At 43.5% G+C, this 26,572-nt stretch overlaps 1 protein-coding gene and 1 long non-coding RNA gene across 9 annotated transcripts in view; both read right to left on the bottom strand.

Annotated features, from left to right (window-relative positions):
* The window catches only part of CDH13 (cadherin 13), a 1,173,672-nt gene that overhangs the window by 1,000,166 nt on the left and 146,934 nt on the right, over window positions 1-26,572 (bottom strand). The window lies entirely within an intron of this gene.
* Window positions 1-26,572, bottom strand: part of LOC101928446 (uncharacterized) — a 56,320-nt gene that overhangs the window by 29,164 nt on the left and 584 nt on the right. The window lies entirely within an intron of this gene.

Here is a 26,572-nt window from a genome sequence, read left to right as displayed (position 1 = left end):
CTCACTCCCTGATCTCTGTTCCATAGATCCCAAGTTAAGAACTCTGATTTATGATTTGGGTATCACTAGGGGGTCTCTTCCTTGAGGAGAAGTCCTTTTGGAAGTAAATAGCCAGCTTTTGCCTCAGACTGGCTATGAAACCCATTGAACTGGGTCTTCATACGAGAAAAATACAATTTTAAAGGAGACCTAACCTACTGAATGAGACCCAACTTCCTCATTCAATAATTCATTTTTGAATTATTTTTTGTCATAATCTCAAAATATGGCCTTTGTCATAATCCCAAAATTTTAACCCCAAGTAAACACATAAAGGAAAAGTAACCTTTAAAAAAATGCTTATTGACAAGACAGACAAATATGCAATAGTTAACAGCCAACCAAAGGGTCTTCCTGTCTTTTAATAAACATGGCACCAACCACAACTGCTAACAAAGATGTGATGTCATTCGAGTGTAGTAGTCCCTTAGTAAACATCTGCTTAGAAAATAGATCCTCTCTGCTTGTACCAGCTTATCATGATAACGCAGTGGTTCCACGGTTCCTACCTAGGAGTCAATACGTTGTCCAATTCTGACAGCTAAAAGCCTGGTAGTGGGTTGCCATAAAGCCAAAATCCATCATCAGTAGATAGGCAGAGACATACATTAGAAATAAAAAATCTACACTTTGTGTAGTCTCCATTTAGAAAATCAAATTCCATAGCCACATTGTTGGCACTTTTCCCAAAAGCACAAATATATTTTTTTCTATTTGTAAATGTCTCTGTTAATTATAAAAACACAAAATCCCACACTGAATTAGAGGCCGAATATGAGAAAATGTGCTGAACCAACTATCTCCCAAGGTCACTGATGGAAATAAATGGGTCTAAATAAACTAATACTAAGTAAGAGTTTTCCATTTATTTCTCCTTGATTACAACGTGGAATTAGCAATGTTGCAAAAAAGACTAAACTGATGTGTTTACCCTGATGGTATCTCCTTAACGATGAGCTGCTTCTAGAAGCTGATGAGCTTTCAAAGCAGACTGCTGAGTATGTCTAGAAATTAGGGTTAAAAGCCCATCTTACGGTAAATTACTCTAGACTCTAATTTGGCAAGAGGAAGTGATTTGTAGTCCAAGTGGGGATTGGGTGCCAAGCTCTTAATTTGGGCTGTATACAATATTTCAAGACCAACTTTCATGAGTATCAATTGACACATGAATTATGTACAAGGAACTGAACTGTACAACAAAAAATAACATGTATTAGACTTTTCTTTGATCACTATCTAACGTCACCCCCTTACAAACATCATGGCGGAGAGCTCGGTGCTTTTGAACACGCTGAAGGCATTTTAGGGGGATATATAATTGACTTCTCCAGTATCTTCATGTTTATCTATCATTCTCAGAGACAAATTGCTGGGTTTGAATAGTCCTAAGAGGTACAAAATTTAGTGATTAAACAAGGACTCTGGTGATAGACTGCCCAGGTTGGAATCCTACCTCTGTCAGGTCCTAAATAACTCTGCTTCCTTGGGCACCTTTCTGGGCCTCAGTTTCTTTATCTGCAAAGTGAGAATCAAACCTGTGCTCACTTCCAAGGGTTCCTGTTATTATTAAATAAGATATCCATTTAAGCACTCAACACAGAACCCAGAACCTGCAAATATTCAAGATCCCTTGCTGGGATCTTGCAATCGTCTTAACGGAGCAAAGACACCAACCCCCAGCTCTACCTGGGGCATGTGTTTCCCAGTACAGCCTCACTCAGCTCCCCAAACCCAAACAGGCTAGCCTATGGCACTTATTCACAGTAACTACCCAGCTCCTATGGACATTTGTGCTTGTAACCCCTATCCTAGAATGGGGAAGTGTCTTCCAAAAACAGCCCTGAGTAATTAGACATTGCCCAGGCCACATTAAGACAGTTAACCTGTATTTACGGCTCACCCTACTATCATCCCTTCAGCCTCACACACCAATTCTCTTAGAAATGATGGTTGGAGAGTAATAACCAGAAGTCTAATCACACCATCACATTTCAAGAAACCCTGTATTGAAAGCAGAACTACAAATTTAAGAAACAGTCTAGGGGAAAAAAGAAAGCTTTCATCTGGTGCATGAATATTTTAGGTAGTGTGGAAAGAGCTCTGAAATCAGACAGACCTGAGTTCTAATATTAGCTTACTGAGTGTGCGGCTCCTACGAAAATGCTTAACTGCTTTGATGTACTTGTTTTCTAGATTTGTAAACTGGAGAGGATGATATCCACTGCAAGCGGTCATTTTTCTGATTAAATGAGACGGTGTTTCAAGAGCAACCTGGTTTCCGGTAGACAGCTAATAAATGCCAGCCTCTTTTCTTTCATATCCAATTCAGACACTGCATCTGCAATTGATTTTACCTTTAGTTTAGTCATCAAAGTTTTCTCACCCCAGAGCAACCTGGGGTAGAAAGTGTCTCTTTACTTTGTGATGGCTCAATGACATCTTAAATCTGGATCCATCGTGGTGACAGGAGAGACCACTACACACATGAACTTTGAAAGCACAAACCAGTAGTAAGGACATATTGCAAAGGTCTTCTGAGAAGGCTGTGGTGTCTTTCTGTCTTATTAAGCATCAGATCTAAAGAAATCCTATTACAGGGGGAAAAGTATGTACACATACACATGTATACACACACACACACACACACACACACACACACACGGCCCTAAAGTCATACATGGGCCCTTGTAAACCTTAGCATTGTTCACTGAATTCTATCCCAAATAACAGACATACCTTAAGCACTGAATAAAATTAGTATATGAGCCTGAATCTAAATTTTTTTTTCCTAAACAGGTAAATGAGAATCAACATGTGTTTGCATGGAGTGGAGGAAGTCTCTTTGTTTTCTAGTTAAATAGCAGTCTTGACATGGTATGGTAACTAGATGTAATTTCTTGAGCTAACTCAGATCATTGAAAGATCAGATAAGTGCCAAAAGTGATGTGATGAGAAGCTTGCTGGGGTCTTGAGGAAGGCAGTGATGAATTAGCAAAGTCTGCACTTGGAATGGGTAAAGGTCTGGCGGCAGCTCGAGTCCTTTGGTCCAGGGCTCTGCACTAATGATGCATGGTGGCGATGCTCTTTCTGCAGCTACCGTAGTACTTGCTCTGTATTTATTCTTGACTGACCACTGTACTGTTGAACCACATACCATATGAGGCTCCAAGAGCTGGGTTATAGCAAATCACACTGGTAACACACAGTGTACAGCAAACCGTATTCAGAAGCAACTGAAAAGTCACCATTCCTCCCCACACTGAAAGAGTGACGTATAGGAAAAACTATTGAACATTATTATAAAAACTAGAACCTCATTTCATCTAGACTTTGCTCAGCTTTGAGGTCAAATTTTAGAATGATGAGGAATAACTCATGACAAGTACATAGTCATGGAAGAATCGTATGCAATGTATACTGTGTCAGGCTGGTTTGGCAGAAGAAAAAGTTGATAGGATCCTGCCTCCAATGGGCATTCAGTCTAGTTGTAAGGAGCAAACTTACCCATGTAATCTGAGCAGAGTCAATAGTCTCCCAGTACACATAGGTCCACAGGTGCAGCCGTTGGAGAAACACTGAAATACACTGTGGCCCTACGTAAAGAGCTGCTGCTCCAAGCTCTCTGAATTCCCCTGTCTTAAAGCCTTCCTCTGGGATCTCCCATAACTTCCTTATAATTCGTCAACTAAAAGGTCATTATTTGTCACAGCAAAGAAGCTCCAAGAATCCATCTTGGGTGGCCACTAGGGCCAGTGTCCATTCTGATTGAGCGAGGCATTACACATATGGAATATCACCCTTGGAATCAAGTGTGGAACACCCATAAGCCAAAGTATCATGAATGGATCTGAAGGTCAAAGGTATGAAATAAAAAGACACCTCCTGGGAAGACTCAACAGAAAAACTGTGCCCTTTAGAATGTAAATTCCACGATGGTGGGGTCCACCCTGTCCTCCTTCACTGTTGAAATCACAGCTCCTAGAGTGCATGGCCCAGAACAGGAATTCAGTATCTGGTAGTTCCATAAAATAATGAATAATCGGGGCTATTTAGGGAATGTACCCTGGGGAGATGTTGAAGGTGGTTCTAAATGGAAGAGAAGAGCGAGATTGGAAAGATGATTCTAGGTAAGGCTTGATGTTTCCCAGGTACCCCATACTCCCTCCATACATCCATAGGGGTCAGTAGAGACTAATGGCAAAGAACCAGTTTCTGGCTAGAGTCCTGTCAATTGAGTTCACCCAGCTTTGCAATTTACTGGCTGTATTACCCACGAGGCTGCCTAGAACCTTGGTTTCCTCCTTTAACACAGAGACCTTATCACCTGCTTCTCCAGGAGAGGCACAGGAACCTGACATGAACCAGTAAGTGCCAATAGGGCAAGGGACTCATCTGTTGGGTCCATTAGTTTGTATCCCAGGCCCAAAAGCATTCTTGAAAAAACATTAGAAGATCAATAAATGTTTGTTGAATGAAAAAAAAAAAAAAAAAGAATGAAGGGTGGCCTTTTTTTCCACTGTGTTAAGCGAATAGAGACAGAGTCTTTGTGGGGTCCCACAATGCCTATGAGAGATGGAGATGCAGGGATTGAGGGCACTTTTCCAGACTGAGCCTGGCAGCTCATCAGGACCCAAGACAAACTGGCAAAGAAGGGTCACTGCACCACTACAGCCATTGTTTTCTTCCTGGTGGACGTCCAGAGCTCAGAAGTGAGCTGGATTAGGAACTGGGTCAATAGGGTGGTTAAGAGTGGAGGGTCTACAGATAAATGCAGGTCTCTGTCCCCCTACTTAACAACTGTAGGACCTTGGGTGAGGTGTGTAAGCTTCTCCTTAAACCTTCATTTTGTAGTCTGTAAAATGGGGATAATATAGTATGTAATTCATAGGGTTGACTGAGCATTCCATAAAATAATGTGGGACAGGTGGCCAGGGCATGGTAACGAGCCTTGAAAAATGTTAGTTGTCACTGTTACATAAGGATGACAATTTGAGGTTCCCCGACCCCTCCGGGCCCAGGTTGATGCATTGGCTGACTGCCTTTTGAAGCTTCTCACCTTGCTGTGCCTCTCCTTTGTTTAGGTTGCTAAGATGCAGAATGTGGTCTCTGTATTAACTCACACAGGTGGTCCACTGAGGCTGAGTTTACTCAGCACCCTTGATTTCCAGTCCCCTGGGACAACTGTCCATGTCCATTGGAAAATTATTCATTCCAATAGACATGGACAATTGTCCATGACTAGAACTCTCAGACCAGAGCTAAAACTTCCATGCCAACACCTGGATTAGCCAACTGCAGAAAGATGGACTCCTTCCCACACTATCTGGTGAAGGAATGTGTGAGCCAGTTGGAGATGAGTATGGGAAGCAAACATCATGAATGAGACTATGAGGCAAAGGAGGGAAGGTATCATTTCTTCAACTCTGAAGCCAGGGCCTGCTTCTCTTCAGAATCTCTCAGGACTGGGAGGATGCAGCATAATGGTTTTCGTAGACCAACCCACAGCCATTTCTTTAAGTCCTGAATCTTGGAAACAAGTTGCTTTTGTGCCAGTGAGGGAGGTAAAAGGGGTTTATATGTTCTGTGAGAGGAATTCAGGCAGAAGAATCAGCCTCCAAGGAACCAAAGTAGGAAAAACTGGTTTAAATTATTCTACAACTTCTGAGATAAAACATTATAACAGCTCAAACTGAAAACCATAGTTTTTGAAATATTAAGGCTGAAGGGGTATTATATTTATAGGGTGTTTGGCTAAGGCATGGCAACATAACTATTCATTTCAGTCAAAGAGAAATTAAGCTTCTGTTTGAGAAAATGAGATTGGATTCCGTTGTCGTCAAATATTTTCTAAATTAACCAAATGTGCGGGGTATTACATGGGTCAAACATGAAACTATTAAACCGCTCTTTTATGTTATTTATCAGCTATTCCTAGCCGTTGGTCTCTGAAGGGAAATATTTTAAATGATTCTCTACTCCACCCCTAGATTTCCCTCTCAAGGGAGAAAAAAAACAAAAGAAAAGAAAAGAAAAAAAAATTCCTTTCTGATGTTCAGATGATTTAAACCTGATTTAAAGTGTTCTTAAGACCAACAAAGATGATTATTTTGCAGAGCTGGCGAGTTTGTAGAGAGGATTTAAACCAGGGGTTTTCAAATTTTTGGCTTCCCTGGGCCACAGTGGAAGAAGAAGAATGATCTTTGGCAACACATAAAATAACACTAACGACAGCTGATGAACTAAAAAAAAAAAGAAAAGAAAAGAAAAAAAATTGCAAAAAAATTTCATAACCTTTTAAGAAACTTTACGAACTTGTGTTGGGCCTCATTCAAAGTCATCCTCCCTCAGCAGCATGTGACCCACGGGCCTCGGATTGGACAAGCTTGGTTATACCCCAGTTCCCTTTCTGCTTTCCTCCAGCAGGGAGGCTCTTCTTGGTGGGGCTTGTAGCAGATAATTGCATCCAGGCTATTTCCACCCAGTAAAAGCCTGGCCTTTCCTGATCCACTGTCTCACTTACTTAAATCCACTCCTACTGCCCCAGCCTGTCCCATATTTTTCTAACTGCAAGGGGAAAATTCTGAGACTCCCATCTTCCTGCTTCAAGTGTTGCACCTGAGATGCAGTCATCTCTAAGCCTTCTAATCTGTTTTCCTCTGAGGCCATTCACCTCATTCAGAGCTTGGGGAGCGCCCTGTTGATTGCAAGCATCTCGAGCAGCACAGTCATCTACATCACAGACAAGAGGAAGGAGGCTGCGGAGAATAAAATGAGTGATACCAGGGTTTGCTCTGTTACTATATCGGGCATAAAAATACTTTCAGGGTTTTGAGTTTTAAATGATGCGGCCCAGCAGGGGTTCACCAAGCACACGGCAGACTGACATGGAAATGAGAATAACCATTCAGGAGAACGGTCTTTGAAACTTGAGGTACCGAACTCAATCGGATAATGAAACACTGGGAACTCCACAGGGTATTTTTTCACCTCTATAAAGAACATTCAATTAAATGCTTTTTCATTTGGACAGGAGGGGTGGAGTGATTTTTTTTTTCCCTCCCTTTTCCACAGAAAGTATCTTCTTGGCTCCTGGCCCGAACTTTTCTTTTCCCCTTTGCTACTGCTTTTTATTGCCTTTTCTCCCCATCTCGCTCAGATCCACAATGTCTGCACACCTTGTCTTCTCACAGGTTGATTGAAATTCCCCATGCTGCCCTTGCAAATGCTCATTACTAACAGGCGACACAATGGCTTCACTGGGTGATGCACTGATGCCGCTTCCAGAGGCTTCTGGTGCCTCCATTTCATGGGCCACTTGTTTAGTCGCCCCTGAAATGCCTTAGTGCTATGAGGGCTGCATTTAACTTAGCCATCTGTGAATAACTCCATCAGGGGCAGACTGCTGCCCAAAGTCAAGTCTGCTTCTGCTTCCTGGCCAGAACGTCACCCCATCCCAGGCGGGCAAGCAAGAATTATTTCCTCGCATAACAGTCCAATGCTGTCGTCCCTCCAAGCCCATGGGTGCCTTTGGGAGAGTGCCAGGCATTTCATGTGGACTTTCTTACAAATCAATTAGCGCTTGGCACTTTGTAGTCTGGAATGATGTCACGCAGCCTGGATGCAGTTGGGCATTGGGTGATGATTTCCAAATAAACAGTCATTCAACTAGCAGAGGTATACATTTCTATTTTGGAGTGTGACAAGATAAGAGGAACACAAGAAATAAATAAAGGCCTTCTGAGTACAGAGCCATGTACCGAATTCAGCTCAATTCACCCTGAATGAAGGTCCACCTGCCACCAGGCTTTGTCCTCAGAGTTGGGGATGCAGTGGCATATGACACTTGCCTTCTATCTAGGGGGCCTTATAGTCTAGAGGGGCAACTAAACCTGGGGTCAATGACTTGGAGAGAACTTATAAATGGTCCTCAGGGAGTCCAGAACCCCCAGAATTGTACTGAATTGTGTATTGGGACTTGCACACATGCAGATACATATTTCTGGGTAATGAATTGATCTTTTTTTTATCAGATGCTAAGAGGGATATATGACGCCCCACACACACACCCACGCACAAATATCAAATAGTAGGCTAGTGTGTTTTTTACCTTGTATTTTCCAAGCAAGCGAGAAAGGGTGCTAAATGATTGAATGAGTAAGTGATGACTTCCATACTGGGAAAGGCAGACAGTTCAGCCCACGCGGCAGGAATCCCGGGATGCCAGGACAGCAAGGTGGTAGAATCATCTCTTATCTGGAATTGTGAGTCTATGAAGTCAAGGAACCGGGGATGGCTCAGAGATGGATGGTTTATGTGAAGGAAGGTGCCATATTCTATGGGCTAGAAGCCAGTCACAGATCCGTCCCACACTCAAAAGGAGGGGACAGCAGCGGGTGCCAAAAACCATGAAAGCCTTTGTGTCCCCACCCAAATCTCATCTTGAATTGTAATCCCCATGATACGGGCGGGTCTTTGTTCTTAGAGCTCCCAAGATGGGGCGGGCCGCTCCCAAGATGGCAGCAAGCCTTTTGTTCTCTGACCTGGGGATCTTGGCCTCATGAATTCCAGGGAATGGAACCTTGGCACATGCAGTGAGTGTTATAGCTCTATTAGAAGCCGTGGGTCACAGAAGAAAACCACGGAGCCCAGCAACTAGTGTTCAGCCCAGTTAGGACGAACCCAGGCACTTAGCCTTGCGGGAACAATGGCAAGCCTTTAGCCCAGTCGGGAGTGGCAATGGGAGCCTCGCTGGATCAGGAGCACAGTGGACACCCTGCTGGATCCAGAGGGGTGGAAGTCAGCCACGGGTCTGCGACGGCAGCAAACAACAGTGGTGGATGGTGAGCGAAAGCTCAGCTCAAGCCCTAACAAGCACAGACCAGAAGAGTGTTCACTTGCAAGATTTAACAGAGTGAAAACAGAGCTCCCATACAATGGGAGGGGACCCAAAGGGGGTTACCACACCCTGCTCGAATGCCTGGGTTTATATCCCGATCATTGTCGCTCCCCCTGTGTTCTCAGGCGATATATGATTTGACTACTTCTTTACCTCCTGCTTTAGCCTAATTTGTATTTTAGTGAACCCTCTTTACAACCTGATTTGTTGGGTGTGAGCTGAGTTACAAGCCCCGTGTTTAAAAGTGGGTGTGGTCACCTTCCCCAGCTAGGCTTAGGAATTTTTTTTTTTTTTTTTTTTTTGGAGACGGAGTCTCGCTTTGTCGCCCAGGCTGGAGTGCAGTGGCGTGATCTCTGCTCACGGCAAGCTCCGCCTCCCGGGTTCATGCCATTCTCCTGCCTCAGCCTCCCGAGTAGCTGGAACTGCAGGCACCTGCCACCACGCCCAGCTAATATTTAGTATTTTTAGTAAAGACGGAATTTCACTGTGTTAGCCAGGATGGTCTCGATCTCCTGACCTCGTGATCTGCCCGCCTCGGCCTCCCAAAGTGCTGGGATTACAGGCGTGAGCCACCAGGCACAGCTGGCTTAGGAATTCTTAGTTGGCCTAGGAAATCCAGCTAGTCCTGTCTCTCACCCACAATCCACATATGTCAAGGGAGAGACCAGGTGGAGTTAATTGAATCATGGGGGCAGTTTTCCCCATGCTGTTCTCATGGTAGTGAGTGAGTTCTCACAAGATCTGATGGTTTTATAAGGGACTCCTCCCTCTTCCCTTGGCACTCTCCTTCCTGCTGCCTGGTAAACAATCATGGCTGCCTTCTGCCACTGCTATGATTGTAAGTTTCCTGAGGCCTTCCCAGCCATGGTGAACTGTGAGTCAATTAAACCTCTTTCCTTTATAAATTACCTAGTCTCCGGTATTTCCTTAAAGCAACGTGAGAAGGGACTAATACACTACCCTACTATGGGACGCAGGATATGCTTTATTTTCACTTGACCAAATAATTTTTTTGTATGTCTATTAATATGCCTTGAAGCCCAAATTGAGAAATGTTTATCTAAAGTAATCAGCATAATTAGCAATTTTTCTGTTTTTCTTTTTTGAGACAGAGTCTCACTCTGTCACCCAGGCTGGAGTGCAGTGGTGCGATCTTGGCTCACTGCAACCTCTGCCTCCCGGGTTCACGCAATTCTCCTGCCTCAACCTCCTGAGTAGTTAGGATTACAGGTGCACACCACCATGCCCAGCTAATTTTTGTGTTTTTAGTAGAGATGGGGTTTCACCCTGCTGATCAGGCTGGTCTTGAACTCCTAACCTCATGATCTGCCTGCCTCGGCCTCCCAAAGGGCTGGGATTATAGGTATGAGATACCGCGCCTGGCCTATAATTAGAAATTTTGTAAGGTACGTGTGTGTGTTGCGAGGGGGGGTGTAGGCATGTGTGTGTAAAGTAATTCTAAGCTCCACTGATCAGCACCCCCCTATAGCACCAGAATATCTAGGTAAGAAGAAGTCCTTCATGTCATAGTGAGCAGAAGCTAAAGAAGAAATCTCGCCAATAGACAGAGATGGGGGCTGGTCTGAGAAAGATGTCAGGATTGTAGAACACCTACTAATTGCCTCACCACCCTGATTCTTCCTCCGCAGGAGCGTGCCCACAATGCCTGTCCAGTGAGGAGATGCTCTGTGGACAGGCTGGTCAGTCATAGAAACTGCTATTGGGACCTGAGACATGAAGGCTCTCAAAATCTGAACACAGGACCTAGGAACTCTTGGAGCAAGAAGAAATTATTCAGACCTGTGGACTTCACACTGTGTAAAAATAGCAGCACAGCCCTGTTTATGAAATAAGCAATTGCTTGACACTCCCTTGATTAAAACAAAACAAAAAAGTAGGTTGCTCTTGTAGAAACAGGTGTGTCCTGCCCAATGGACCTCCCATTTGTTTCTATCCTTGTGCAGCCCAGAATGGCCTTTGAAAATATTTCTCTTGCTCAGCTCCCTCATTATAAAACTGGAAAACAATTGAATCCCTGAATGGCGAAGTGTCGTTTCAAAGCCACACCACTAAGTCTAGACAGTTGTTCTTGTCATCGCCTTGATGTGATTCAGAGTGACCATCAAAGGTGAGCTGTGTATCATCAAAGGTGAGATATAAAGAGCATATATCAGCCTCTTTATATCTCTCAGAAGACCCTCCCTTCATGAGTTCACAATCACTGTTTTTAACTCCGAGCTTAAGGAATCAGACTGAATTAGTTCTTTGTGTAATTAACCTGAGGAACACCTACTCTTCGTGACTTCTCTAGTTTCTGTGATCAACCCAACCACACAGAGACTGGATGACCAAGAATGGCCCTTCAACCCCTCCAGGGCACCTTAAGGGTAGGATGGGGTGGGGTGTGAAATTCCAAGACAAATGGAAAAAGGTGAAAATTGCCTTATCAGCTGGAAAGTAACTCAAGCTCCTTATCTTTATGGTATAACAAGAAACAATCAGAGCAACCTCCTTTGCAACCCAGAGGTGAGTCCAAAAAGGAAACATACAATTGACTAACGGCCTAGTAGGGGATTCAGCCCGGAAGCTCACCTCTACCTGTGCCCAAGTCCTGCTCAGTTTCTTTTAAATGTCTTCCTACAAAAGTTGATCCAAAGGCTTAATGAACCAAAAGGCATTAAGAGTCATGCATGTCAATTATGCTACCCATTCCTGCTTCTTTAATTGGATGCAAATAACATCACCTGGGCTCCACATCCCAGGATCTGTCCGGCTCTTTGTCATGTGGCACTCTAAGCACCTTGTTCCAAAGATCCTGGCAGGAGAGGAAGACATTAACTGTGAGATCTGCTGGCTTCTGCCAAATTCACAAATGCTGGCTGTTAGGCCTATAGATAGAACGAGGGGTAATTTCATACAAATGCTCTGTGCTATTCCCTGAGCTCCAAGATTAGAGTTGTCAGAAAATGTAAGTGTTCCTCCGGTTAATAACACAAAGAACTAATTCAGTCTGATTCCCTAAGCTGAGAGTTAAAGACCAGCAGTGGTGAACTCATGGAGGGAGGGTCTTCTGAGAGTGACGCTGGAAAATGCCCAACATGTGCCAAGGCCATGATACCTGTTAAGAGTCACGTGGACCACATCAGGGCGGTCGTCCAGGAGGCCTGCATGGCTCTTGGGACTCAGCCATCTCCTGGGCACCTGCTGGAGGTACAGGCAGATGTAATGGGTAGTAACGAGCTTATGTGGCTACGTGGAGAACCATCCCAACCATCCCATGTCAAGTCAAGGCTGCTGGATTTGAGAACAAAATATACAACGCCTGTGCAGAGGACCATCCTCACTTTGTTTTTTTCCTCTCTCTCTAGGAAGGAGACACTTTGGTTCCTAGATGCATTCCTACTAGTTTCTTGGACACACATTTCATGTTTATGTGGCAAATTATATTTGGTTATAGCCTCCAGAGAGCACTGACTTATTATTCCAACAGGGCACTTCTTGAAGATGATTTTAAATCTTATGAATGGTGTGTAGCATGGAATGCTTCAGGACAGAAGGGAGGACACAGTGACACCATCCTCTTACTTACTGTATCGTAGGTACAGCCCAGGAGTTGTGAGTCAGCCTTTGGATTTTCAGATTATTATTTTCAAACTCTCCGGAAAGATGTATGATGGCTTTTGAGATCACACACACACTTCCTCCCTTCACCCCCCTCCATACAGTCCGTGGAATACAACTTAATTCGTAACTTTTCTAGAGAAAAAACAAACAAAATTGTTATTAAAATCAAGAGCATGATTAATGAGCCTAATTTGGGATTGAGTCCAGCCTTTTCCCACTGGTTGTGAAACCCTGTGAAAGCCCATTCACCTCTCTGGGCAACCTAGGTCCCACCTGTCCATTTAGGACAATAATAATTCTACTTCATAGGCTAATTCTGAAGTGAGGTGATGCATATGTCTAGCATACAATAAATGCTCGATAAATTGTACTTACACTATTTTTCATGGATTTCTGATTAAAGCCCCCCAATGCAGCATTTTTTTGCACACAGTAAACACTCAGAATTTCTCTACTATCTGGTATCAGTCCACCGACATCTGCCTTCTGTGACGGAAATTTCTTCCAAATAATGAAATGAGTCAAATGGGACAAGTTTTCTGTTTACCCCCCAGGACATATGTGCTGCTGTTTGAGATACTGTTTATTTTGTTAGGGAAAGTTGTTTGTTTTTTGACAGTATAATACAAACCAGTAGATTGGCCATGCTCAGCTGTATACATGGACATGGTGAAGAAGTCAAATCAATTATTTAAAAAGTTTAGAGCATCTGTTCTCAGGAGAATTCCACCTACAGATACTCACCTTGCCTAGCCTGAGACCAGCCCCAATGGAAAACAGTCTTACATAATAAGACCATGGACTCATTTTGTCTTATGAGATAAAATAGTATTTTATAGGTGAATTATATGTTACTTTAGGAAGCTATCCATTTCAAATAAGTAGAGCCAAGACTCACTGGAAATTGTGAATCCTCAGATGGTTCATACTCCTGTTAATTTAGAAGCGTTTGAAGCCATGCACAAGTAGAGGATGCTTCCTTGCTAAGCAGTCATGACCCTTGTCCAATACCCTTAAAAACAACTGTTTTCTATGTGGCACATACACACCATGGAATACTATGCAGCCATAGAAAAGGATGAGTTCATGACCTTTGTAGGGACATGAATGAAGCTGGAAACCATCATTCTGAGCAAACGATTGCAAGGACAGAAAACCAAACACCGCATGTTCTCACTCATAGGTGGGAATTGAACAATGAGAACGCTTGGACACAGGGTGGGGAACATCACACACTGGGCCCTGTTGTGGGGTGGGGGGAGGGGGAGGGATAGCATTAGGAGATATACCTAATGTAAATGATGAGGTAACGGGTGCAGCACACCAACATGGCACATGTATACATACATAAAAAACCTGCACATTGTGCACATGTACCCTAGAACTTAAAGTATAATAAAACACACACACACACACACAAAAGAAGAAGAAAAACCAAAAAGGCATAGATGAGACTATGGAAAAAAAAAAAAAAAAAAAACTGTTTTCTGATTTGGAGGATCAAAGGATCATTGCAAGTAAGCCCTCTGGCATAGACACTTTTGGAAGTGATTTTACACGTTTTCATTGGGATAGTGTCCATTTTGTCCCATAAATTATCCTGAAATATCTATGATGGTTTTAAGATTTAAAAAAAAAATCAAACCTTAACTGTAAGATATGACTTCTAAATTTCTTTTCAAAGAATATGTCAGTATGTGCAATTCTTTGCCTTCTACTTCTAAACTTAACTTCCTCGTAAAGCAACCGTTTTCCATTACCTACTCCACCCTGACTCATTCTGATCACCTGCTCCACCCTAACTCATTCTGATCACTTGCTCACCCTAACTCATTCAGATTACTTGCTACCTGCTCTGCCTTGACTCCTGCCAAAGCACTCACTCCATCATTCTCTTTAAATTTGCCAGTCGGAATTAGTTTAGCCTGTGTGGTCTAACCCTAGCCAACAGGGGAACCACACAGTAGCAGGGGCCACGTGCATCAGGGATAAGAACCCCTTCCCCTCTCTTGTCCAAATGTGGGCTCACCATAGTTCCATCTGTAAGGGTGCACCCTTCTATATAGAAGTAACTTGCCTTGCTGAGAATTAAAAATAAAATTTTATATTCGACTGCTATTTCTTTTGCGGTACCGCGACTTTATATATAACAATAACCTTCTCCCTCCAGCCCCTTCCATGCAGTTACTGGAATACACTTTGATTCCTAAGTTTTCTAAAAGAAAGGAAAGAAATTGTCCTCAATTAGGAATCCATGGGTGGTTTTACTGATTATCAAATCTCTAGAATGGAATACAAGATTGTAGACAGACAAATCTTGAGCCAGATGGTATATGTTATTAAAATCAAGTGCATGATTAATTAGTCATTTACTTGGAGTGATTTATCTTGTACCTCTCTCCACCGGCATTAGAACTGCCTGCTGCGGACATCAGGTGTGCTGCTCTATTATGCATACTAATCAAAGTCCGCAGAAGTGCACATTGAGGGTGAATTTGAGCTCCACTGAACATCCATTTTAAAGAGCTGCATTTTATTAAATAGGCCTGAAGTCAAGAAGGCCATAAAACTGCAGAGGAAAAGGATAAACCAGTTATGGCTTAGTTGTCTCTCTTTCAAATGAGCCAAGTGCCAAGCCTGCATACCTGGGACTGGTGGGCAGCCTTTCCAACCCATGTTAGACATTTAGACATAAGAGAGTCTCATGTCTTCCCCTTCCTATTTCAACAATCTATCTTATGTCTCTCCGTTTCAACTGCCAGCCCCGAACGCAAGCCCCCGTCTCTCCCCTGAAAGACTGCAGTACCCTCCCTCCTTCAGACTTCATCAGGCAGAGCAGATTTTTGACAAGCACAGCTGATCATGCTACATTCTTTCTTACACCCATGAGCGGGCCCCCACTACTGCTAAGGAGTAGCCCTAACTGTCTGAGTCCAGGAAGATGACTTCCATCTCAGCCCGGAGCAGCTCTTCTGTCTCATTTCAAGGCGCTCTCTGGCCTCTTCAATGTGCATCAGCCTCGCTGCCCTTTGGAGGAAGGGTCTAAAATGTTTGAAATTATTTTCTGCCTAAGGACTTTTCAGCTGCTGGTCCCACTTCCTAAAATGCCACCCTGCTGTGCATCTGCCTGGTTAAGTCTGTTTTGCTTTCTTTTTGCCAGTTTGAATGTCACTGTTTCCCAGAAACCTCCTCTACTTCCCCTTCACCTCACCATAGAGAGAGTTACCAGCTCTCATGGTGCCCTGAAGTTTTCCCCTATGACCCTTATCCAAAGTGTAATTAATTAATTTTATAAAGAGGTATTAATTCTTCTTCTTCCCTCACTAGGTTCTAACCATGTGTGGGCAAGGACCGTGGGTATTCTGTGGACAGCTGTATCCTCAGCTCCTAGGACAATGTAGGGCACATAGCAGGCCCTCAATAAATGACAAGGATAAACCCTGAAAGCAGGGTGTGGGGGAGAGCATTCGCTGTCCCTTCTTCCTGTACACACACAGCTGGACCACATTTCCTCATTGCCCTTGCTGGTAGGTGTGGTCATTTGACCAAGTGATGGGGACAATGTCTGCCACTTCCAGGCACAGTCCATAAGAACCTCTCCCACATGCTGCGCCGTGATACTTCTGCATTCTGGCCGACAGGGATGTCAACGTCTAAGGTCACTTTGAAGACCAGATGTTGAAAATGGCAGGGTCACCCATCAGCCTGAGTTTCTGAGCAGCTTCATAGAAGAAACACCCACTAGAGCTGTTGGGTAAGCAGGATAAGAACATCTGTTCTGTTAAACCACCGAAATTTGGGGGTGGATTTCTTTTACTGCAACTTGGCCCATCTGAACTAATACATTTGCATTCAAAACAAGCACTGGGCAAGAGTGAAAAAGGATAATTGCCCAGCCACACACACCTCCAGGAACATGTAGAGCCTGCGGAGGTAGAAGAAAAAAACAAATTGAATTTCTAACATTAAGTATTGTGAAGACATTAGTATTTTTTTCTTTTTCTAATTATATCCGTTTCTTTCTTTCCCTCCACTAACTCCATCTCCAAATCTCCAAAAATTATGCAGAGAGCCTGATTACCAGTATTCCCTTGTCAGAAGCCTGCCGCTGCCTCTGTTCTTTCTCTGTCCTTACATACTGCCCTAGTAATTCTACATCAAATCCTAGGTGTGGAGAAGCCCTTGCCTCGGAAGGGAGGACTTCCCAAAGCAATACATATGTAGCCGAGAAGTCCTCTCACTGAAATTAGAATCTCATTGAACAAGCAACTCCATTTAGTTCCGTGAAGAACTTACTTTGGCTCCAAGACAGCTCAGGGAGGAAAAGAATCACTGCACACATTTTTCAAAGGAGTAAGAAGTTTTTCTCTACATCCTCAGGGCTGCTGTCACTAATCTCAGGACTGGGACCCCACCTCCTGGGGCTCACCTCTCTGTGTCCTTGCAGCCCAATCTCTTTAATTCAAGCTGAGTGGAAGGCAGGCTCACGCAGCTCTGCAAGCTTCTGCTGAACAGGTTAATCTAGCTGAGTTAATGATGATGCAGCCACTTCCATCATCGCAGAAAGCCTGATCAGTTGGCTGGTTGGAGCTTTGTGGCCAGGGACCCCTCCCCTCCCTGCTAGCCTTGCTTGGGCTATGGAAAACTCTGCATTTATTAGGAGCACCTGTTCACGGAGCTTTGCGGTCTTTGGCCCTGAAGGGGAGGAGCTGAGCAGGTCTGGCTATGAGTATGGATTGCCCATGCTCCTGGAAGCCTGTTTCTTTCACAGGAAATGTCCCTCGGTGCCAACCCTGCAATAACGGAATGGAACGTTTGCTCACATTGAGCCACACCTGTTGTCAACAAGCATTTGCTTCCAATCTATTTAAACTCCATGGGGGAAGGAGACGCTGTGGGTCCCAGGCATTGTTTGGCAATGCTGGGTTCACAGCACCTGGGAAAGCTCCACAAAGTCTATGTTCTTGTTTGGGAAGTAGAGTTGCCCCTAGTAACAGCTGTTGCATTTCAATAGAGACCTGGAAGCCTCTGGAAAGTCATAAAGACCTCGCCCAGGCCCCTGCGCAGAACTTAGTGCCAGGAACTTGGAGCTGAAAGGCAGCCTGCTCCTGTCAGGATTCCTGCAGCTTCACCAGCAGCGGGAGTAAGGCAGACAGAAGGCCGGATTCCAGCATGTGCTTGGTCGTGAAGCTGCTTTTGTTCTTGGCATTTTGTTTTTGGTCAAAGATGTCAAGATGCATAATTAAGTGTCTGTGCCAATTAAATTCAAGTCTGCATTTTGATCTGTCTCCTAAGGTGTATTTATCTACCTATTATGCACTTGTTCATGCATCCATTTGTTTATTATTATTTTTTTTTTTTTTTGAGATGGAGTCTGGCACTGTCGCCCAGGCTGGAGTGCAGTGGTACGATCTTGGCTCACTGCAACCTCCGCCTCCCGAGTTCAAGTGACTCTCCTGCCTCAGCCTCCCCAGTAGCTAGGATTACAGGCACTTGCCTGGCTAATGTTTGTATTTTTAGTAAAGACAGAGTTTCACCATGTTGGCCAGGCTGGTCTCCAACTCCTGACCTCGTGATCCACCCACCTCAGCCTCCCAAAGTGCTGGGATTACAGGCGTGAGCCATTGTGCCCAGCCCATTTGTTTACTCTTTTCTCCTTTCTTCCATTCAAAACCACAGGCCCACCCTGAATCCTGGTTCTTGTGATTGGCTTTCTGAGCCCCTACTTCAGCTCCTGCCTGGTGCCCTAATAATACCACCATATGTTCTGCACCCTGGTAGAGGCCCCCTCCTACATATCCATATTTCTACCAAACAACAAATGGGCACTTTAGGAGGAACTTCAAGTCTGAATATTCATCAGCTACTTAATTTCCTGCTGTTGTGTTCCTCACCCCTGGCTGGTTACTTCCTCTTTTACCACATATGACATTTAGGTTCACATGTGTGCCTCCTTCTTTGAATCCTTCAGACACAGTAAACCATTCTTTCTTTAGAGTTCCCACAGCAACACGGCACAGTTCTCTGTAGGTGCACTGAGCACACTGTTGTGTAATTTTTGGTTTACATATACTCCCGTACTAGATCCTAAGCTCTTTAAGGACAGAACTGCGACTTATATGTCTCTTTATTACCAATGCTTACAGTTTTGCCAACTGATTTTTGTTTAAGGATGAGTGGTTACGTGGATGGATACAAGGCTATATTGATGGATGAGAGGGGAGGTAAGTGGGTGGATATGTGAAAGGTTGAATAGATAGATGGACTGATAGGTAGATGAATAGCTGAATGGATGGGTAGATGGATAGATTAATAGGTGGATTGGTGAATAAGTGGGTAGGTGGGTGGATGGATGGATGATAGATAAATAGCTGGGTGGATGGATAGGTGAATAGATGGGTGAGTGGGTGGACAGATGGGTAGATGGATGTATAGGTGTGTGGGTAGCTAGACAAATGGATGGAGAATGACCTTAGCCATCAAGTTGCCAATGTACACAACAAAAAAGCTTATTCTCATTAAGATAGCATTCAAATACCAAGCCCTTGTATAAGTTCACAAAACCTGAACCACCAGCAAGCAGAACGGTAGGCAGGACCCTTGTGGTCTGCATTTCCCTAAAGCTGGACGAATATAGAGAATGCTGTAATTTCAAGCTATAGGCCAATTGGTATAATGTTTCCCTGTGGCAACTAAACAGCCTTGCCCTGGCAATAATCACATCTCTATTTCATTGTTTTAAAAAATTGCCTGCATATTAAAACTGCCACTTTTATTCTTCAGAAATGATACCTCAAGTGAACCTAGAGGCAAACTTCAGAAGATACACTTAAAAAAAATCAATGCCTAGGGAAATAAGGAAGTCAAGCCTAAATCCCACTGCCTTTCAGGCAACCTCACAGTCTCTCCAGACAGCAGGAGAAGAGGACAGCTACCCCAAATGTGACCCTGATTCAAAGTCACAGTGATTTCCTCCCTCCAGTCCAGTCAGAAAACAAGAAAAAGTACACTACTCAGCTACTGTCAAATGTAGAATGAAATATAACCCTTGTTTTTGTGTATCGGGTTATTACAGTTTTTATTACAACTTCTGTGTTATACATGTCTTTTCTTCCTCCAAGACAACAATAGAACAATGAACCAGCGTGAAAGAAAAAAGCTGTCAGCATGGGTAAAGTCACTCTGTTATGTTTTATTTAAAAAAGTAGCTAATCATGCCAATTGTAATTTTAGTAAGTTATTTCTAATGTAAGTTTATTAAACCATGAATCTTCCCTTGAGCTAAACTAATGACCACTATTAGGTATGCTACTCTATTTTAAATGATCAAAATATTAAATGGGATAAGATGAAAATTATAGATAGTGATAATTACAAAATGTCAGCATCACCTGGAATCAATTTACTAATATGTCAACTTGGCTGCAGAGGGGAAGAGTCAGTTGAAAATGTGCAGAAGGCACATTGCATGGGCTGCTGTCATTTATCCTATGGGGACTGTCATGACTGAATATTTACATCCTCTGGTCCCGTGCAGTCATTTCTACCCTGTTTGCCGCACCTTTTATCAGAGAGCAAGGGAGAGATTGGCAAGGAGAGAAAACTCTTCCACCTCCTTGCATTCCAGGTTCTTACTTGAATTTTTGTAGGGAGAGTGGAGACAGAGCTTTCAAGTAAACCAATGTTGTTGTAACCACTTGTGGGTCGACATATGTGGGGTTTTTTTCTTAAATATATAGTCCTGACCTTTCCCCACCCCCATTCCTACAAGCAACAAGGGAGCAGAAGTCTCTGCAATGAGACTATTGCAGACACCGTTGCTTGATTTAAGTCACAGATTTCAGCTGTGCTTGTTTTGTTTGGCGAAATCACCTGTGTACCTGAAATCATGGGCAAAATGGATTTGCTCCTGGCACAAAAGGGCAGAGACTGCATCCCCTAAAGTGCGCCTGTCAAGGTAAGATGCAGTAACATGATACACATGTGCAGATGTATTTGACTTCTTGGGGGACTGATCGATTCTCAGGGGTTGTCAAAGTTACCTCGTGACAAAATACTATGAGAGCCATGACCTCCCACCTTTCCCTCTACTTCAGTCATCTCCCTCGACTTCCAAAATCTTTCTACCACTACCTGCTACACAGATACACAAAGGTATATTCACACAGCACAGACACACTTAAGCTCTGCATTCCTCTGTTGAAACAACTCCAACAATCTGGTTCTGGTGGAATAGAGTGCCCAGATAAACTATCCAAGGAGAGCTGTCGGTTACAGGTAAATTATGAGGTTTGTTTAAATCTTTCTTCTGGTTTTTCCTGGCATTCTCTCCTGGCCCCTCTCCTTTGCCTTCTCCCGCTCCGCCCCTTGGAGCCACTGACCATCCCTCTTGGTTCATTCCCAGACCCTCTTTTTTGCACAACTGAGTTCAGATTTCTCTTGTCCCAAGGGAACAAGAATGTTTTCTACAGGACATTGGAGAACTGCTGTGTTAGGAGCCCTGATTTAAGTGGACGCTTGGACCTGCACAGAAATTCTCAAAGCGGCCTCTGCTCTTTCTGGCTGGATAGTTCTGTGAAGTGGCAAAGTGCACTGGTAGAGACCACAGATTCTGAAGCTGGACTGCCTACTATCTGTGTGATCTTGGACATGTCCCTCAACTTCCCTACACCTCGGTTTTCTCATCTAGAAAATGGGGAAAATAGTACTTAGCTTCTAAGGAGTAAATTTGTCAAGCACTTAGAAGGATATCTAGCATACAGTAACTGCTACTTACGTATTTATTACATTTAAAAAATAGTTTTCAGTGGACTCATTACTCAAGCTTTACCCTTCTCCCTCCCACCCTAACTTTACACTTCTAGATTATCTTTCCTCTCTAAGTCCAGCCATTTCTTTGCTTTCCGGGATCTCAATTCTTCCATCTGAGATTGATTTAATATACACAGCAGGCTCCAGGGCTAATTCCTGATCATTTCCTTTCTTCAGACCAACACTTGTATTTAAAATTATCACAAATGAAACACCAAGGATACTTCAGTTCCTAAGACTCAGCTAATCTAAGCATTTTAAATCCACCATGGAATTAAGGAAGGAGGTGGTGGTCTTTGCCATGTTTTTTCTGTAAATGATTAAATAGGGGTTCCTAGTGCCTTGCGTGCTTTAAAGCTGTTGTTCATAATGAGGGCTCTAGATAGGTATGAGTTCAAATCTACTAGTTTTAGGAAGAAAATGCATAGAATAACAATCAGTGAGGAAGGAGATATCTCCCTGGCAGCCATATCTAATAAATGCTGTGTAGTGAGAATAGATAAAGCAGACCTTTTTTTTTTTTTTTTTTTTTTTCTGGTCGTGATTCCAAAGGCCATTCCCAAAGAGAAGCTACAACAAGGTCTTAAGCAAAGTTTGCATCATCAATGAGTTTAAAACCTTCTATTCCAGGGAGACTACTTCAAAGGTCAACACTTATTTGTATAGAAAGTACATAGCAGCAACGTGGAAATGCCCCCACCATCCAAAACTCTGTAATAAAATTAGATTCAACATCATGAGTCAAAGCAGGTGGATGCAAAGTTATTTGAAAGAGAGGGAATATTTCTACACCAGCACAATTTGACTAATAAACTCAGGTTTTTCAAACTGGAACGTCCTTATCACAGAAAGAGAGGTACCAGAGCATGCATGAATATTCAAGACAAAAGAGATTTTTCTGGAGGGACAATTCTACCCAATAAAAGGAATTTGACCCATCATTTTGCGTTAAAATAATCACGGTTCTTGTAGTAGGCAGTGGCTGGCTCCCAGTGAACCCTGCCTCCTCATATGCATGTCCTTGTGTAATCCCCTCCACTGAGGGTGGGGTGGACTTACTGACTCGCTTCTAAAGCATAGAAGGCAACAAAAGTGTCAGGGCATCTCTTCTATGACTGTTATCAAAAACTGTGGCTTCTGTTTTCTTGGCCCTCTGGCTTTCTGGCTCTTCTCACCTATTTTCTCTGACGAATCAAGTTGTCCTGTTGTGAGCTTCCCTCTGGAGCTGTCCAAAAGGCAAGGAATTAAAGGGTTCTTCCATCCAATAGCCAGCAAGGAAGCAAAGCCCTCAGTCCAGCAGCCTGAAAAAGCAGAATCCTGCCAGCAATCCCATGAATGAGCTCAGGAGCCAACCCATGCCCAGTCAAGTCTTAGGATGACTGCTGCCTCAGTTGACACCTTGATTTTAGCCTTGATTATGGCCCAAAGACCCAGCTAAGCTGCACCCATATTCTTGCTGCACAGAAATTGTGGAATAATAAATATGGTTTTAAGCTGCTAAGTTTTGGGGTGATTTGTTGTATAACCATAGATTACTAATACAGATATATTATAGACGATGGTACAGAACTGTCACAAAAGACAAGGCCTATTGCATCTACCTGATGTTTCAGCTCAGGCCCACCCAGGGGCACAACTCTTGGAGGCACCATTCACAAAGACCACAGTGTGGAGTTAAGCAAAATTAAAGCCCGGTGACAATATTGATGCCAAATTCCAAGTCCCCAAAGGAACTGGGTTTAGTTTTCTATAGCATATTCACTATCTGACTCACATCAAGTCTCACCTTCTTGATCCTCAGTTCATCTTCTATAAAGCAGCTACAAGAATCTTAACTTTTGGGCACAGTGGCTCGTGCCTGTAATCCTAGCACTTTGGAAAGTGGAGGCGAGAGGATTGCTTGAGGCCAGGAGTTGGAGACCACTCTGGGTAACACAGTGAAATGCTATTGCTACAAAATAAACAAACAAACACACAAACAAACAAACAAACTCAGCCAGGTGTGGTAGTGTATGTCTGTAGTCCTAGCTACCTGGGAGGCTGAGGCAGAAGGATCATTTGAACTCAGAAGTTCAAGGCTGCAGGAAACTATGATTGCATCACGTCACTGCACTCCAACCTGATGTTCTGGGAAATGTAAATGAGATGTCTGTGAAAAGCATAGTATCTGGCACATAGCAGGAAGTGACTGTTAGCTTGATGACTCTGAATGTCTAGCTTCCACCAGAATTTCCAGGGCTTTGGTTCTGTGCAAAATGCTGGGACACCTTGTTCTCTGTCTTCACCCCAGGTTGAAGTGGAAGCTCCCATCTCTTTCTGGTGGGAGAAGAGAGGGATGAAGCCACCTCAAATCAGTTCTGCTTTTCCAAGGTGGTTCCCCCATTAAGTACTAAGTGTTCAATCTGGAGAGAAAACCGAACCCACAGTCAACCCATGTGGGCGCAATGAAAACAAAAAACAGAACATGCGTTTAACTTCCTCATTCAGTTAAAACCAGCACTTCCTAAAACAAATAGTGACAGCACTGAGATTCTTATTTGAAAAGAAGGTTCATATTTGCAGGTTGTCTGCACATTATAATACTTGCCGGTATGTCCAGCTGCTCCCTTTGTGTCCCATTTACTACAGTCATAACTACAGATTCAGAGACTCCCACTAAGCATGGCTGATTATTAAAAATAATAAAGCACTCCAGCTAATTGACCACCAACTCTGCACTGGGTTTTTTTGCATGCAGGCCTTGATAGTCTCACAAAAGCATATGGCATAGATAGTGCCTTTTCTTTTCTTTTCTCTTTTCTCTCCTTCTTTCCTTCCTTCCTTCTTTTTCTTCCCTCTCCTCCCTCCCTCCCTCCCTTAATCCCTTCCTTCCTTCCTTCATCCCTTCCTTCCTTTCTTCAACAGTCTTGCTCTGTTACCCAAGCTGGAATGCAGTGGCACAATCACGGCTCACTGCAACCTCTGCCTCCTGGGTTCAAGCGATTCTCATGCCTCACCCACCCAAGTAGCTGGGATTATAGGCATGCACCACTGTCCTCAGCTAATTTTTGTATTTTTAGGAGAGAGAGTGTTTTGCCACATTGGCCAGACTGGTCTTGAACTCCTGGCCTCAAGTGATCTGCTGGCCTCAGCTTTCCAAAGTGCTGGGATTCCAGATGTGAGCCACTGCATGCAGCCTGATAGTGCCCTTTCTTACTGCTCCTTTCATACTTCCATCCATTCACAAAAAAAGAGCCATCAGTATGCATCCTAAGCAGAGTAGAGTTTCAGAATAGGAAAAGGATATGTCCCTCACCTTGCACCCAGGCAAATTAATATTTTTGCAAGGGTGTACACTGTGCCTGGCCCTGTGCTCAGAGCTTTACCCAACTGATCTCAGGGAGGCTGTAATGCGTATTAAGATCATTAATTGAGAAGACAAAATGCCTGGGTTTCACTTTTTGCTCTACCACTTAGCAGTTAGAGAGGCCTGGGTACATTACTTAACCTCTCTGAGGCTTAGTTTCCTCTGCTATAAAATGGGGGATAACAGAGTACCTTTCCCATAGCATTGACATAGACATAAATGAGCCAACAGGTTTTAAACGCTTAGCTCATCTTTCCAAGGTGTCAGTAAATGTTAGCGATTTAACCCTTGATGCAGCCTATGGGGTGAGTGTGATCCCACACCATTTTACGTAAGAGAAAAGTAAAAGTCAGAGAAGGTAAATAACTTCCCCATGCTCATACATACAGCTGGTAAGTAATATAACTGGACTTGATATCCACACGTGACTATTCAAAACAATGGTTACTTTACTGTATTAGGAGGCTCCGCTGACTTTCTTGTATATCATGATTACAGTGACCCCATTTTGACTATGTTCTGAGTGCCATATAGTGTGCTAAGAGCTTTACATGCATTTATCTATTCACTCTATCACAACTATATGCAGTAGGTACAGCTGTCATCCTCATTTCACAGATAAGACAGCCGAGGTATAGACAGGTGCTCACAGTCCCAAGTGAGTGGTAGAGACATCTCCTGTTCACCATACCCTATTCTACTCTCCTTCCAGCACGTGGGAGGATTACAGTCTCTAGGGCCATTAGGTAGAGTCTGCAACCCAATCTTGCTCCTGGGCTGCAGGTAGAACTGATCCATTTTATTTCCAAGTCAAAGCATTTAACCGCCAAGATTCTCCAGCATTTTTATTCCTCAGCTGCAGCTATAGGAAGAGCTTGTTTGGTAACAGAGGAGCCATAGGAGGGGATAGCCCACCATGCTGCCCCACCAGGTGCAGGAACACACCCTGACCAGGGGGCTTCTCATGAAGGAGAATTAAACCCGCTCACAGGCTCTGAGATCTGTGACTGTTCATGAATGCAGCAGAGCCTCACCTATCCTGGTGGATACAGTGAGCACACAGCATTTCCAGAACTTAAACCCTAGAAAATGAACACCATAACTTTAACACAGGGTGATGGTAAGAATTAAGTTATGTCAGATAAAATCTATATGAAAGGACATGGCACAGAGATGAGCACCAAGGAAATTTTCAATAAATGCTTGTTGAATGAAATAATTCTTTTTCTGAAGGTCAAGATTGAAACCTCCTAAAGAATACACAGTGGTAGACCCTGACACTAGGTAGTGCTTCCTCTATGTTATGTATATTTCTATGGGCTTCATACATACAGACTCACTTATTTCTCACAATAACCTATGAGATAGCTAGTGTAAGTATCCACAATTTACAGATGGGGAAACCAAGCCATGTAGAAATGAAAAAAAAAAAAAAATGAACTGAAGTCATACAGATGTAAATTGAAGAGCTGGGTCTCCAACCCAGGCAGTATGACACCAGAGCCTATATTCTTTCTTATTTTTTTGTTTTAATCACTGCTTCAGTCAAGGGAAAAGAGCCTATATTCTTAACCACTATGATGTAGCCTCTCTGTTGGCAACCAATTAGGGAAGCACATTTTTTTTTTAAAGAGAATTCCAATGATGAGTAATTAGGTATAAAGAAGAACAATACTGGCCGGGCACGGTGTCTTACTCCTGTAGTCCCAGCACTTTGGGAGGCCAAGGCAGGTGGATCACGAGGTCAGGAGATTGAGACCAGCCTGGCCAACATAGTGAAACCCTGTCTCTCCCAAAAACACAAAAAATCAGCCAGGGGTGGTGGTGGGTGGCTGTAATCCCAGCTACTTGGGAGG

The sequence above is a fragment of the Homo sapiens genome, chromosome 16 (genome assembly GCF_000001405.40).
Source record: "Homo sapiens chromosome 16, GRCh38.p14 Primary Assembly".
NCBI lineage: Eukaryota > Metazoa > Chordata > Mammalia > Primates > Hominidae > Homo > Homo sapiens.
Note: the sequence above shows the minus strand (reverse complement) of the source record. Positions and strands in the feature narration are given on the sequence as shown.